The sequence below is a fragment of the Homo sapiens genome, chromosome 1 (assembly GCF_000001405.40).
Source record: "Homo sapiens chromosome 1, GRCh38.p14 Primary Assembly".
Lineage (NCBI taxonomy): Eukaryota > Metazoa > Chordata > Mammalia > Primates > Hominidae > Homo > Homo sapiens.
In genome coordinates, this window is record NC_000001.11 from 3366209 (window position 1) to 3380944 (window position 14736).

The following is a 14736-nucleotide window of genomic DNA, read 5'->3' on the forward strand; positions in this document are numbered from 1 at the left end:
TTTCCTGCCACTGAGCACGACCATGACTTAATGCGCTTGGCGGCCGCTCGCAGACTAGACAGGCTTGGCCAAAATCAGACCCAGTGCAGCAGGACTCCGGGACGCGCTGATGTCCTGACGGGAAGGCACGCACTCTCTGTGGGTTCTGCCTTCTCCCCTCAAGTGGACGGCCGTGTCCCCTGCCCTGGGCCCTCCATGCCTGTTCGCGCTCAGTATGCCGGGACACTCTCTTCCCACCCATCTCCCAGGCTGTGCCGACCAGGGCTGTGCAGCGGGCCTCCCAGCCTCCGTAGCCTGCTCCGGGGGCCAGTGTGGCTTAAAGATACAAAGTGTCCTTTTATTGGAAATATCAATTCAGAAAGGGGCTAGTAGTAAGCTGAGAATATTTGGATAATCTTGACAGCCCTGAGGACTAAAAAAGACCTTTTGTTCCCAGAGAGAAAAAGGCCGTCGCACCACCCTGGGCTTGCTGGAGCAGTTCCAGAAAAAACTGAGGTCGGAGCAGAAAAATGATTAGGGCGTCTCGTGAAAGATCTCTACTCTAGGTCAAATGTTTATTATTATTTATTTTATTTTTTTACTAGAATGTGTGGTTAACATGCTATTGCATAACATCAGGCTGTAACCGTGTCTGTGAACACCACGTCAGTCTACCCGGTCTGTAGTGCACAAAGAGAACTTTGTAGCATCCCGGGGAGTGAGGGGGCTGCACGTGCGTGTTTTGTTTTGCTAGGCTTTGTTTTCAGGATGCTGACGACCGGTTAAAGATGGAGCAAGGGCCGGGCACAGTGGCTCACGCCTGTAATCCCATCACTCTGGGAGGCCGAGGCCGGTGGATCACCTGAGGTCAGGAGTTCGAGACCAGTCTGGCCAACATGGTGAAACGTCATCTCTACGAAAAATACAAAAAATTACCCGGGCGTGGTGTTGGACCACTGTAATTTCGGCTCCTGGGGAGGCTGAGGCAGGAGAATCTCTTGAACCCGGGAAGCAAAGGTTGCAGCGAGCCGAGATGGCACCATTGCACTCCAGCCTGGCCTGGGCAACAAGAGCAAAGCTCTGTCTCAAAAAAAAAAAAATTGATGGAGCAAGCATCTTTAGTGTTTGCGGCTCAAGAACATAACTGCCATGGGGAGGTCTCTGCTCCATTTGGACAGGAAGCGTGTGCGGGTTTCATGGCAGACGTGACTTGGGAGGGGTCTTGTCTGGCAGAGGAAAGTTGAATTCAAGCTCTTTGCTGTGGTTGAGCCAGGTGGGGACACCCCTAGATGCTACCTTTCAGCTGATCCCAGGCCTAACGCACCCACAGCCAAATGGCTTTTGGGGAGTGGCTGGAATGTGACAGCTGCCGGCCCAACAGCTCTCAAAAGTGCCGGGCTCAAGCGTCCATTGTCCAAAAACACGTGCGGTCCTGTGGTTCCCTAGGTTCACAAGGAGAACTTCTTCCCCGCTGTAGACTACGTGTATAAATAGAACATATTGGCAAGAGTGGAAGGAGTGTATTTTAAAGCACTTACACTTCTGAATGTATGTTTTATACTGATAAGAATTAATGGAGCCGGTAGTGAGTACACTGATTTTCAGTGTTATGATTCTGTTATATTTTGTTTTAATTAAATGGGATATGAAATCGAAAAGGCAAGCTTGTCTTCAAAAGAAGGCATTTGAGGAAGAATCAAACTAACTCTTTGTACTTTAAAAAATCATTTAAAAGTAGTTGTTGTTTAGAGAGGAAGACTAAACAAAAGCAACTTAACGTAAAAGTAAAGTCATCATCTGCAGAGAGCTGGAGGAGGGGACAGAGATGAAGGGTTTGGGGAACATTCTGTACCTGACATGCCAGAGGGCCCAATCCCCTCAAAGAGTCAGGGAACCTTCTAGAAAACAGTCTATCCATTCCCAACAGAGGGGAGGAGGTGAGGGCAACCTACCGAAATCATGCATCGCTGAGAACCTGCTGGTCCTTCCAGAGCCACCCGCCCGTGGCTGACGCAGGCACCTGACATTCATTAGGAGGCAGTCCCGACAGATGCTTCCTCGTGGCGGACTTCCCAGCTCAGGAGCCGCAACACGGGCCAGGCTCCGACACCTCTGTCTGGAGAGAAGTTTGCGGGGGTCTTGGCCACCAGAAAAGAGTGCTATGATTGAGCCCTGGGTGGTGGAGCCCTGGCTCTGGCTGGGCCCCGGGCAGGAAGACACCGTAGGAGACTCTTCTGTATCCATGGCTGTTCTGAGCATCTGTGAAGGATCCAGAGCTCCAGAAAGTCAAAAGCCAAGCAAAGGCCACGAACCATGCCTCACCCCAAAGACAGTGTCTCCCCCAAGCCCAGCCGCTCCCACCCTGAGGGGAAAGGGGCCATCTTTGCACAAGGCCCTCCTCTTGAGAAAGCTCCAATGCAGTCACCAGGGAGGTGTCCTGGCTCAGGATAGCAGACAGGGACCCACCCGTAAACCGTGTTGTGCTGCTTTAAATTCAGCAGGATTTTTTCTTCTTTTCCCATGAGTTTTTATTCACATCCTGGTAACATCAATAGAGGCAGATCTGCCAGAATAAGTCATCTCTGCAGCTCCCTCCAGGGAGGAAAGACAATGTGTCCTCCCATCTTTGTCTTTTTCAACAGAAAAAAAAATAGCAATAGCAAAATCCACAAAGAAAGATCAGGATTAAAATGTTCTGCAGCTTCTATACACCCCCATTCAAATTCCGGGTAATCGGCCGCATGCTGCCTCCCCTCGGAGAGGCCGTGGGGTTGGCGGATGCAGTTCAGAATCATTTGTGTCATATAAGTGCTTGTGATTAGATTTTTAATAAACCATTTTGATTCTATTTCCTGGGCTTAAATAGATGTCTGAACGTGGCTGGTGAGGACCTGAAAGGGATCCAGGTAATATCATTGTGGGGGACACACTCTTAATTCCTTTGATATATTTTGTCAAAGGTGACTAGCTGTAGGTACAGGCTGGAACTCGGGGGGAGCGAGCGCGCTATTGAACTTAATTGGTTCCATTTGTCATTCAAAACTGACTCTGCAGCACCTCTGTCTGTGAATCACTTCCTAACTTGCCGATCTGGCCCATCGTGCCCACGGTTTGGGAAGGAAGCCAGCTTTGGCTTCCAAGGGAGATGTCTTAAGCAGAGTTCACGTCCAAGGGTGGGCTTAGCACACAGCTCAAAGCCCATCACCGAGCATCTGGGTGGTCTCTGGCTGGGATGCTACCACCTGAGAAGCAGATCATCCAGGAAGGAGCCTGTGTCATCCAGATATCCGGCATTGCAGTTTCCAGCATCTCCGTTCTTCCACATCCGCTGGGCAGCTGGGTATGAGGAGAAAGGATGGGCTGATTCGTTCCAGTTCACGGGCCCTGGGGCCCTTCTCCACACAACCAGCCGGACTGTGGCTGAGCTCCAGGCTCTGCTGAGAAAAACAGAAATCCTGGGAAGTAGAATCATTATAAAGAACCATTTGGAGGAAAAGCATGTCTCTCTCAATTAAGCCAAAAGGAGGCCCAGGCCAGCATCTTTTTATGCACGCATACCTGGGCCTAGTCCGGGAAGAAACCAGAGTTGGCTATTTGCAGGGCATCCAAAGACAACATTGTCTGCACCAAGAATCCTTTGCCAATGACCATTTTTGTATGTCAAAGAGCAGCAAGAGCTGTTCTTTATAGGGATTGGCAAGGTATTTGCTTAGACTTGGCCTGTTGAGATTTGAGCTATTTGCAAGAGCTGATCTCAAAACATCAGGCCTGATACGAAAGGCAGTGAGTCACTGAGCTCCTCCAGCCCGGCGTGTCACAGGGAGAAGAAAGAAGGATGGGCTCGGAGAGACTGAGTCAGCTGCAGGGAAGGCACTAAATATAACTGGGCTGGATCCATCCTGGCCCTTCTCCATGCAACCAGACTTTTGCTAAGCACCTACTATGTGCCAGGGCCCAAAGGGTGCTGAGATGAACAAACCCACCGTGGCCTCTGCTTTGGGGAGACTGGCCACTGTGACACTGCACCTAGGGGAAAATTGCAACCATAACACTTTCCAGAGGACAATGATCTGGAAAATGTTGCAACTCTGATTTCCAGAGAGGCAAGTAACCAGGAAAAGGCTTTCCACATCCCTCAGCAGAGCCCGTGAATAAGAAGGGAAAGGATTTGAAATGGAGGGATGAAGACAGACCCCTGGGAAACGGAGGCATAGGGAGTGCTGGCTGACAGTCTCAGTCATCTGGAGGCGCCTTCATTCATTCATTTGTTCCCCAAGCATGCATTGAGCACTCATGGTTTGCCTGGCTCTGGGAATCAGCCAGATAAAACCTTCCAGCCCCACCACCCACCAGAGGAGAGGAAGTGACCTGCGACGTGATAGCCATGGCCCAGTGCAGTGTCCATGCTAAGAAGGGCAGGGACTGTGAGAGTGTCTGAGAGGAGCCTCACCCTGATGTGAGGGACCAGGGCAGGCTTCCCAGGAGAGGTGTCCTGTGCTCTGCCACCATGACAACTCCTGGAATGGTGTTCCCTTGTGTCTCACCATACGAAGTTGGGGAAGCCATAAGTGTCTGGGCAAGTTGAGGGGAGGGTCTGCTCCCCATCCATCCATCCACTCATTTATTAATCCATCCACCATCTATTCATCCATCCGTCCACCCACCCATCCATCCATTAATTATCCATCCACCCACCCATCCACCATCCATTCATCCATCCATCCATCCATGCATCCACTGAATAATCCACCCATTCATCCATTCACCATCCATCGATTCATCCATTTGTCCATCCACCCACCGATCCACCATCTATTCATCCATCCATCCACCCACCCATCCATCCATTAATTTATTCATCCATCCACCCACCCATCCACCATCCATTCAACCATCCATCCATCCATGCATCCACTCAGTAATCCACCCATTCATCCATTCACCATCCATTGATTCATCCATTTGTCCATCCACCCACCGATCCACCATCTATCCATCCATCCATCCATCCATCCATCCACCCACCCACCCATCCACCCATCCATCCATCCATTCGTTTATTCATCCATCCACCATCCATTCATCCATTCATTCCACATCCATCCATCCACCCATCCATCCATGCATCCATTGAATCATCCATCCATTCATCCATTCACCATCCATCCATTCATCCATTTGTCCATCCACCCATCCATTCACCCACCCATGCATCCATCCACCCATTCATCCATTCATCATCCATCCATACATCCATTTATCCATCCACCCACCCATCCACCATCTATCCATCCATCCACCCACCCATCCATCCACCCACTCACCCACCCATCCACCATCTATCCATCCATCCACCCACCCATCCATCCATCCACCCACCCACTCACCCATCCTTCCATTCATCCATCCATCCATCCATTCATGGAAACATTCAGTGAGCCCTGACTGAACACTGATCCTGGGTGAGGCCCTGGAAGAGCTTCAGTTGCTGTTGGCTACCATCATCAATTAGAGGAGAGTGAGCAGGGCAGGGCGAGCCAAGGTGCATGGCGCTGGTCCTGACAGTGTGAAAGGAGTCAGGTGGACAGCCAGCACCCACCGCCCAGCCCATCTGCCCTTTCTGGCTGTGCAAACTTGGGCCAATTACTTAACTCTTCTGTGCCTCCATTCCCTTATTGACAAATGTGGATATGAGGGTGGCTACCCCTGGGGGAGACATGAGCATCCAATGACTCAGTGGTGAGTCTCAGCACCTGTGGGCCTCAGCTCTGCATAGCACTGGCCTCTCCAGAGAATAAGCGGATGAGAAGACTCTGAGCTGCTCCCGCTCAAATGTGTCTGGTCCTCCTAAGGTCCATCTGGAAGTCACTCCCTGTGTGCAGCCTGCACATTTGAGAGGGCCTGAGGGTGACCAGGCCATGAGCCTCTGCACAGCTCTTACTGAGATCATGCACAAACCCCTCAGGAACCAACCAACGGGGAAGAGCTGGGTGAGGGACCCCAGGGGTCCTTGGTAGGTTCCTCAGCCTGTCATTCAGCTGCCACACGTGGGGGCTTTTCTCCAACAAAGGAAAGTTCTGGGCTTGCCCCAAAGGCCCTGCTTCCCATGGCTCCAGGGTGCAAGCCAGCTATTTTAGGGAACCCCCACCCCAAGCTGCATCAGCTCAGCCCATCATGAAGAATTCCTCCCGCATCTGCTGTGGGGTGCCACGTTTACAAGCTCTGCAGTGTGTCACCATCTAAGTGGCCAGAGAAAGGTTATGAATGTGACACTTCCCAGGGCCTCGTGTCACCTCACAGAGAAACCGCTTCCTGTGGGCGACCTGGGCTCCCGCCTCACCCCGGGCAAGGAGTTGCCACAAGCCTTTGGTTTGGGGCTGTTGGGCTTTTTTTCTTTCCAATCTTTGCTATGCTCAAAAACCAAACCAAAACAAAAGTATCTCACTTGAGAATGTCACAGCCAAGTCTGCGGTAACGTGCAACCTTCAGGCTCAGAGCCTCCTCCTGCTCTTGACCCAACTTAAATCAAATTCAGGTTTGAACAACTGTTAGAGCTGTTAATGTTTGAACTATGGCAGCCTGCTCTGGGTGGAGAAGCTGCTGCTCTGGCACAGCTGCCCCAGATCCCACCCTCCTCCAGAGCCTGAGTCAGGGCCACGGACGGGGTTCTGGGCCCAGCCTAAGGAGCAGGGACTGGTGTGGGGCCTGCTATGGGGTGGGGAGAGGGCCTGATGCAGAGCCTGCGGGCTCGGGGAATGACTTACCAGCTAGCGGGGTTTGGGGGATTTTGCACCAATGGCCTTCACCAGTCCAAATTGCCCAGATGTTGTTATATCAGCAGCTTGGGCATCAAACTCTCACCGCCGCAGGACCAGACATGGATGCTTCCACCTCGTAAGGAGCAGGACACCCAGTGGGGCGGGGCTGAGCTCAGGCACACACAAGAGTCTCCTCAGAGCTGGGGTTTCTTGGGAGCACGGGGGTTAGGGGAGCCGGCTTCTGCATGCGAGCTCCACGGGACAGTCTCAGTCCCCCTGCTGCAGTGCCGGCGGGAAACGGCAACAATGCCAGAGCATTCACACCCAGAGTCTCCTTAGAGCCCCTAGATTCCTTGAGGTCGGAAATCGCCATGCCCTGGAGAGACAGTGAGAGCCCCGCCCCAGCGTGCCTTTGCGGTGACCCACATCTGGGCAAGTAGACACTGTGGAGACTCCAGACACCTCCTCGGGGAGCCAGGGGGTTCGGGGGGAAGTCCCAGGCCGTCGTTGCAGACGTTTCTCAGCAGGTTCAGGCTCAGCGCCCCCACATCCTTGCTTTGACCTAGTCATCTACGCAGCCATGGAAATCCGTCTCTGTGCTTATGAAAAACACCCCTGCAAGGCCACAGAACCAGGCCTGGTCAACCTGGCGTGACAGACTTGATCCACCCCTGGGGTCCCTCCCTGCAGGCAGGACAGACGCGGGACCTGGAGCTTCTCTCCTGGGGGTGCTGGGCAAGCGGGGCTGGGGCATCAGTTCTAGCAGCCTGGCCCCGTGTGGCAAACCCACTCCAGCCTGCACCTCCGTGAGAAAAACAGCAGGGATTGCAGCCAGGAAGGAGCCCAGCCAACGCGTGCTGCCCTCCCTGCCATCCCCACGGGGACACATGGCCGAGCCTGGGACGTCCTGCCAGAAAGCATCCACAGGAAGAAGACAGAGCAGGGAACAGACCCTGTCCTGGCTGCTGGTGTTGACCAGAGCCAACCAAAGCCAACCAGAGCCAACCACGCTGCTTCCATTTGGAGCTCTGGGTGGAGCTTGGCCTGCTTCGGTGTCCTCCTGGAGGCTTGCTGAGTGGGAAAGTGACTGCCACTTTGGATGGAGGTCCCCATACCCTCCTGGAGGGAGTGTGGTATATCGGCCAGCACGAGGCAAACCTCTCAGGAGGGCCAGGGCTGGATCCCGGGGTCCCAGCCGCTGACCGCCAGGGGCCAGGGCCGGCTTTTCATGTTGCTGCTGCTTCCACCCCTGCCCCGAAACCAGCACATCCTCATCAACACAAGACCCTTCTCTGCCCTGCTCTGGGGTCCCCAGATCAAAGCCAGCAGAGCCAGGCAACGGCACCCAGGGCGCCCCCTTGGCAAAGAGCTTTCCACTTGACCATAATGCGGGATCCCTTTAAAAATGACACATCTGTAAGCTGGGATCCCCGTTACAGAAATACAGTTTATACACAACTTTTCAGAGGCGAAACATACCTAAGCTACTCCCAACACGTATGGCAGAGACGGAGGCTCCCTGGACACACGTGTCCCCAGAGGAAGGTCCAAGGACTCCCCCACCGGCCCCGCACAGCAGCCACCTAGCAGCTGGCCTGGGTCTGTGAGGAGGGCCCCTGATGCTCAGCCAAGGGCCCTCTGTGCGACTGTGGCCTTTCTCCTGGGGGCCGCTGTGCACATCTGAGACCCTCCGGAAGGGGGAGGGGGAGCTCTGCAAGCGGAGGCAGAGGCATTCTCTAAGGCAGAGCGCACAGCATAGCCTGTTCACTGGGTGCCCCTCTCCTACTCACTGCAAGGGCTGGTTCGTCCCTTCGGGGGTCCTGAGGACCTCACTAAAGGCTTCCAGAGGGCCAGAGGTGCTTGTACTTCTTGACTATCCGGAAGACCCAGGTACGGCCCCATTCTAAAGAGCAGGTGAGCAGGAGCAGCCAGGCGGGGGAGCAGCAGGCACCCAAGCCACCAGTGGCCCGAAGTGGCCGCCACAGGCACACAGCAGAGAACCTTCGGTGTCCGGGCAGGGCTGAGCACAGGGGTCCTCCAGGACATCTTCAGCAGGTGCCAAAGGCCAGCTCCCAGTTCCTCAGAGCCCACCCCGCCTGCATGTAGCCACAGCCTCCAAGCAGCTGGAAAGCAGAAAAGAGGCTTTCTAGCTCCAAAGGGGGGACACCGAGGCAGGACCCCAGACAACCCCCACACTGTCACGATGAGGATGGTGGGAGATCGGGGCTGGGAGGGCCTGTGTGACTCAGAGGTCAGTCTCTGAAGCACCCTAGAGGGAGGGGCCCAAGCCCTGCTGGTACTCCCCCCAGGACATGGTGCTCCCCACTGTGTCCACCCACCGGCTGCCGAGCCCAAGGTTTCGACAGACCCTGCTCTTTCCACGCACTGCCAATCACCTCTAGGCGTTCTGTGTTTCATGAGCCTGTATCTCAACCCTTCATTTCACTAAAGATGCAAGAACCTGGGTCTGAGTCACCAGTGTGCTCCTTTATTTCTGACGGTCAGGGCTGCAGCCCATGGCTCACAAGCCAAACCTCAGAGGTGCCACGAAGGACGAGCCACATGCCAGAGAGGAAGCCCAGCCCCCAACACCCCCAGGCTGCTGGGAGAGCAGTGACGGGGCCGAGTTTGGGGACATACCAGGAGCACGCCATGTGCAGGTTGCAGGAAGGGGCAGGGACCACTCCTGTGGCAGGGGGCACAGCACAGCCTCAAGGCCCGGGCTTGTGTGGCCCCTGTCCTCCACTGGTGTGAGATCAGGATGCATAAGTCCCACCCCAGGGGACCTTGAGAAGCTTGGGCACTGCGCACGGTCAGATGGAAACTCCTCTTTGCTTCCCTGTCTCAACCAAAGTTTTCTTCAATGTTCATAGACGCTGCTGGGAGGTCGCTCCCCACCCAAGTGAAGACCCTGCCCAAAGAATAAAGAAAATAGGAATAGGAAGGAAGGGGAGGAGGGAACGAAGGAGAGAGAGAGAACTAAGGGGAAACTCCACAGCAGAGATGGCAGAACTCCGGAACCTGGGCTGTGGGCTGGCTGCCGAGGGCTGTGCGCTCCCTCAGAGCTCCACGGCATCTGGGGTCCAGGTGCTTTGGGGGAGATGGTCAGTGCACCCCAGGAGCGCCACAGCATCCCGGTGTCTTGGTGTTTAGGGGGAGATGATCTGTGAGCCTCCATGTTTGCAGGGCATCTGGGTGACTGGAGCTTTTGAAGGGAGAGGGTCTGTGACCCCTGGGGGCTTCCACATGGCATTTGGGGTGTCTCCGTGATTTCTGGTCTGTGGCTTTTACTAGATTTTCGAAGGTGTCTGTGGCCCCAAGAGGCTACAAAGTGTGGAATTTGGTGACTCTTTTTCTAGCGCGTTGCATTCCTCAGATCTGCCCAGCACTGACACAAAAGCAGAGCCCCCCAGGCGTGGACTCCACGTGTCCCGGGCCTTCTTCTGCCCTCAGAGTCCCACTGGGTCACAGGGTCCTCTTGCTGCATCTGAATTCTGGGCCATGCTCTTGGGGCTGTCTGAGACCCTGGGACCCTGGCCCTCATCTCTCCCCCAGCACGCCCCACTGCCTGAGAACCATCCAGTGAGACCACAGTCAGGCGGGAGCTAAGAGCCACAGCCCCCTCCAGCTTCTTCCAGAGACAAGCCCCAGACAGCCCACCCTTGCTCTCTGTCTCTCTCTGCGAGTTTAGGAGAGAGGCTGGCTTCCATCTTGGAGGAATGGCTGCCAAGAGTTGCCTGTTTCTCCAAGCAGCAGCCTCTCTCTCTCTCTCTCCCCTCACTCTTCCCCCACCCCAACCCTCCCATCCTCCTTCGTTTCCTCTCCTCCCACCTCCCTCTCAGCCTAAGCAGGTGGGCCCCAGGCTTGCTGACCGCCGACCAGGCCTCCTGTGTCCCTGGCCGTGGTGTGGCCCCATCCCACCAGCCACATTTCTCATTAGCACTGGGTCCCATCACCACCCAGCCCCCTATTGGGCATCAGGATGGGGATTTATGAGCTCACCTAGGCTCTGTGTTCACACCGGACCGAGGTGTTTCCAGAACGCCTTTCCCCCACCTCCTTCCATCACAAGAATGGGCTTTCTGTTTCGGCTACTCGTGGACACCATCAATTGTGACCATTGTGTGTGCGCACGTGTGCGCATGTGCCTATGACAGCCCCATAGCCAGGGCTTCTTACTCTGAATCAGCTCATGGGTCCTTAAAGAAGGGGGTCAGGGTAAGGAGACCCTCTCCCCCGGCTCCCGCCAGCTCCTGGCTGTCAGAGGTGGACTCCATGGCCATGGGCTTCTGGGGAGCCTCCTGGCAGCAGCAGGAGACGGGACCGAGAGGGCAGCGTCCCAGGGCTCCTCTCCTCCCTGCATGCTCAGAATCCACTAGGCAAGCTGATGATGGATGCTGCGGCGTTCCCACCTGCACGCACACCCTGGACGGGGCCGGCGGCTGGCCATGCCCACTGAACCTGGAGGACCAGCCCAGAAGAGAGCCCACAAATTAGAAGTGCAGGAAACCTCAAATTATATGCAAAAAATGTAAAGGTTAAGAGAAATTTTCCCCCACTTCACTTGGTAACTCAGCATTTCTGATGGGGTTGATTTATGAGCTGGGGGAGCTGCCCGGCGCCGGGGAGTGGGAGACAGTGGACAGGAGGGCAGTTTCCTTTGGAGGTCCTAGGACTCCTGAGGCTCACCCCCAAACAACTCAAAGCCAGGCGTTTAAGCAGCGATCAGGCAGGGAACTGGATTCCAGATCTGGAGAGAGACACAGCCCAGTGGCCATGGTGGCCTCCAGATCACTACCTGCTAAAGCCGGCCGTGTGGAGACGTGGGCTGGGCCGCTCCTTCCCTCTGTGGCTCCCTCCTGTGTTCATTGATCACGCGCAAACAGAAGCGAGCAGTGAGCCCGGGTTGGTCACTTGCATGCATCTGTTCGTTCGTCTACCCACTTCTTATCTGTACTGGCCTCCTATGTCACGGAGAACATCCCAGGCCTCAGGCCTGCCCCGAGAGACTCCCAGAGGGCCTTGGAGGTGTCAGGGCTAGAAGACTTCACACCAAAACAGGCCCGGCTCCCAGACGTGGCTGGATGTAGCACGCACCCAGGTTGGAAAGGCTGGGCTCGCGCCCTAGGGCAGGCGGAGACATCGCCTTTGGCACAGATCCTTGGCGCTGTCCCCACCTGGTACAGTAAGGAGCCTGTGTTCAGGTGCACATGGCTGCGACCTTGGACACCACCTCCCTGAGTGTTCCTGTTGCCAGTGTTTCTTCCACCGATCCCTGATTTCCAGGAGCATCCAGAGCCCAGGGAGGCCCTGGTCAGATGCAACTTGGGCAGCCGGAGGGCCACCAAGCTGGGGAGTGGTGGCCTCTCTCTGTCCTTGTGGGTGCTGGCAAGTCTCATGCCAAGGGAAGCAGGGACCGGGACCTGGGACTGCCCAGGCCTGCTTTGTGGATTCCAGAGGACGTGAAATCTTGTGGCTCCCAGAACAGGGCTCGGGGACCCTCCCTCTGGTCCTTGAGTCGGCCCTGGAGAGCACACGGGGCAGCCATGGCACAGCTCTGGAGTCCGGCAGCCTGGGCTGGGAGCTGGCCCTGTCTCCAGGGGCCTCCATCTCCTCTTCTACAAAATGTACCATGGGGCAGCAACACCGTACCCACCTCATAGGCCCGCGGCGATGAGCGAGGGGCCTCGACAGCACCCTGCATGGCCCTGAGTGCACAGAGACCCTGGGGAGGAAGGCGAGAGAGGACAGGAAAGGTGGCAGGAGGAGGCAGCGGTCAGGGCAGCACCTGCCCTTTCTGGAATCAGAGACAGTACAGGCCCAAGAAGCCAGGCCTGAGCCTCCACCTGCCTGGCCAGAACCACGGCCCAGGGCCACTTCAGGAGCATTTCTCTGATCTGAGACAGAAAAGCAGTGGCTTCTGAAGTTCTGTCCAAGCTCCTCCTCCATCTGCTCCCTCCTTCAGGAGTTCCCAGATGGGTCCAGCAGGACCCCAGCAGGGCTGGACCCTCCATGCTGGGACAGGCAGCCAGATGTGGTCAGGCATCTCAGGGGAGACCCCACACCTGACTGTGATAGCAGACACAGGCCTGGCCCCTCCCAGCGCGCCCTTCCTGGTGCACCCTCCCCAACACACCCCCTCCCGGTGCACCCCTCCCGGTGCACCCCCCCAACTCACCCCTCCCAACACACCCCTCCCAGCACACCCCTCCCAGCACACCCCTCCCAAAACACCCCTCCCAACACACCCCTCCCAGCACACCTCTCCCAGCACACCCCTCCCAACACACTCATCCCAACACAGTCCTCCCAGCACACCCCTCCCAACACACCCCTCCCAACACACCCCTCCCAGCACACCCCTCCCAACACACCCCTCCCAGCACACCCCTCCCAGCACACCTCTCCCAACACACCCCTCCCAGCACACCCCTCCCAACACACCCCTCCCAGCACACCCCTCCCAGCACACCCCTCCCAACACACCCCTCCCAGCACACCCCTCCCAACACACCCCTCCCAACACACTCATCCCAACACAGCCCTCCCAGCACACCCCTCCCAGCACACCCATCCCAACACAGTCCTCCCAGCACACCCCTCCCAACACACCCCTCCCAGCACACCCCTCCCAACACACCCCTCCCAGCACACCCCTCCCAGCACACCCCTCCCAGCACACCCCTCCCAACACACTCATCCCAACACAGCCCTCCCAGCACACCCCTCCCAGCACACCCATCCCAACACAGTCCTCCCAGCACACCCCTCCCAACACACCCATCCCAACACAGTCCTCCCAGCACACCCCTCCCAACACACCCCTCCCAACACACCCCTCCCAGCACACCCCTCCCAGCACACCCCTCCCAACACACCCCTCCCAACACAGCCCTCCCAGCACACCCCTCCCAGCACACCCCTCCCAACACACCCCTCCCAGCACACCCCTCCCAACACACCCCTCCCAGCACACCCCTCCCAGCACACCCCTCCCAACACACCCCTCCCAACACACCCCTCCCAACACACTCATCCCAACACAGCCCTCCCAGCACACCCCTCCCAGTGCAATCCCTCACCATGCACCCCTCCCAACACATTCATCCCAACACAGCCCTCCCAACACACCCCTCCTGGCGCACCCCCTCCCAACACATCCCCTCCCCGTGCACCCTCTCCTAACATGCCCCTCCCGGTGCATGCCCTTCCGGCACACCCTTCTCAGCGCACTCATTGCTGGTTCAGGGCCCTCAGACCAGGGCTTCTCCTGGCTCTCCTGGAGGAAGGGTTAGCGCCCACCTGGCCCCCCTCAGAGGTGCCCCTCTGTGGAAGGAAGGAGTTAACCAAGACCTCCTCAGTCACCCCAGGGGGCCCACCAGGCAGAGGGGAAGCTCCTCCCTTTAGGGGCCACCAGGTGTAACTCCCACCCTGTGACTATTAAATTGGTCAGGGGTTGGGGACCCGGCCTCCGGGGACAAGGAGAAATGGCTGGGAAATGAGAGTGACAAGGGAGGAGAGGCTGTCAGGCCAGAGAGGGGACCCCACCCGCAGGGCAGCAAAGCCTGAGCGTGTACTCGGGACCAGGACCCCTGGGGGAGTTGTTGCCTCTGGTCTCCAGGCCTCTGCACCCGAGAGGGTCGGGGACAGACCGGAGGCTCAAGAACACTGTCCCATGTGGGTGAGAAACCAGCCGTGTCCCTGTTCAGACACGCTTGAGAGAGCCAGAGATGTTTACCCTGGCAGGGGAGGGTTAGTACTCAGGCCGCACGCAAATACCTGCAGGGCCATCATGTGGAAAAGAGAGGCTTATTCTGCAAGGTGAGGGGGGCATTACAAGAAGGGAGAGCCTATCCCCCAAGAAACAATTCCCAGTGACTCGATGCATTCAACAATACACTGGCTGCCTAGGAGCACAATGGGTGCCTCCTCCACAGAGCACAGTGATATGGGCCTGGAGACTGGCTGTCCCAGTGCACAGGTGGGTCCCTAGACCTGC

The 14736-nt window shown here is 56.6% G+C and overlaps 1 protein-coding gene across 2 annotated transcripts in view, besides 1 other annotated feature; it reads left to right on the plus strand.

Moving 5' to 3' along the window:
* Nucleotides 1–14736, plus strand: part of PRDM16 (PR/SET domain 16) — a 369419-nt gene that overhangs the window by 297006 nt on the left and 57677 nt on the right. The window lies entirely within an intron of this gene.
* Nucleotides 2741–3322: an enhancer, noted in NCBI's record as "OCT4-NANOG hESC enhancer chr1:3285513-3286094 (GRCh37/hg19 assembly coordinates)". NCBI's record gives its function as "activates a minimal SCP1, AML or CMV promoter by ChIP-STARR-seq in naive H9 embryonic stem cells {active_cell/tissue: H9 hESC(naive)}" and the evidence as "EXISTENCE:reporter gene assay evidence [ECO:0000049][PMID:30033119]".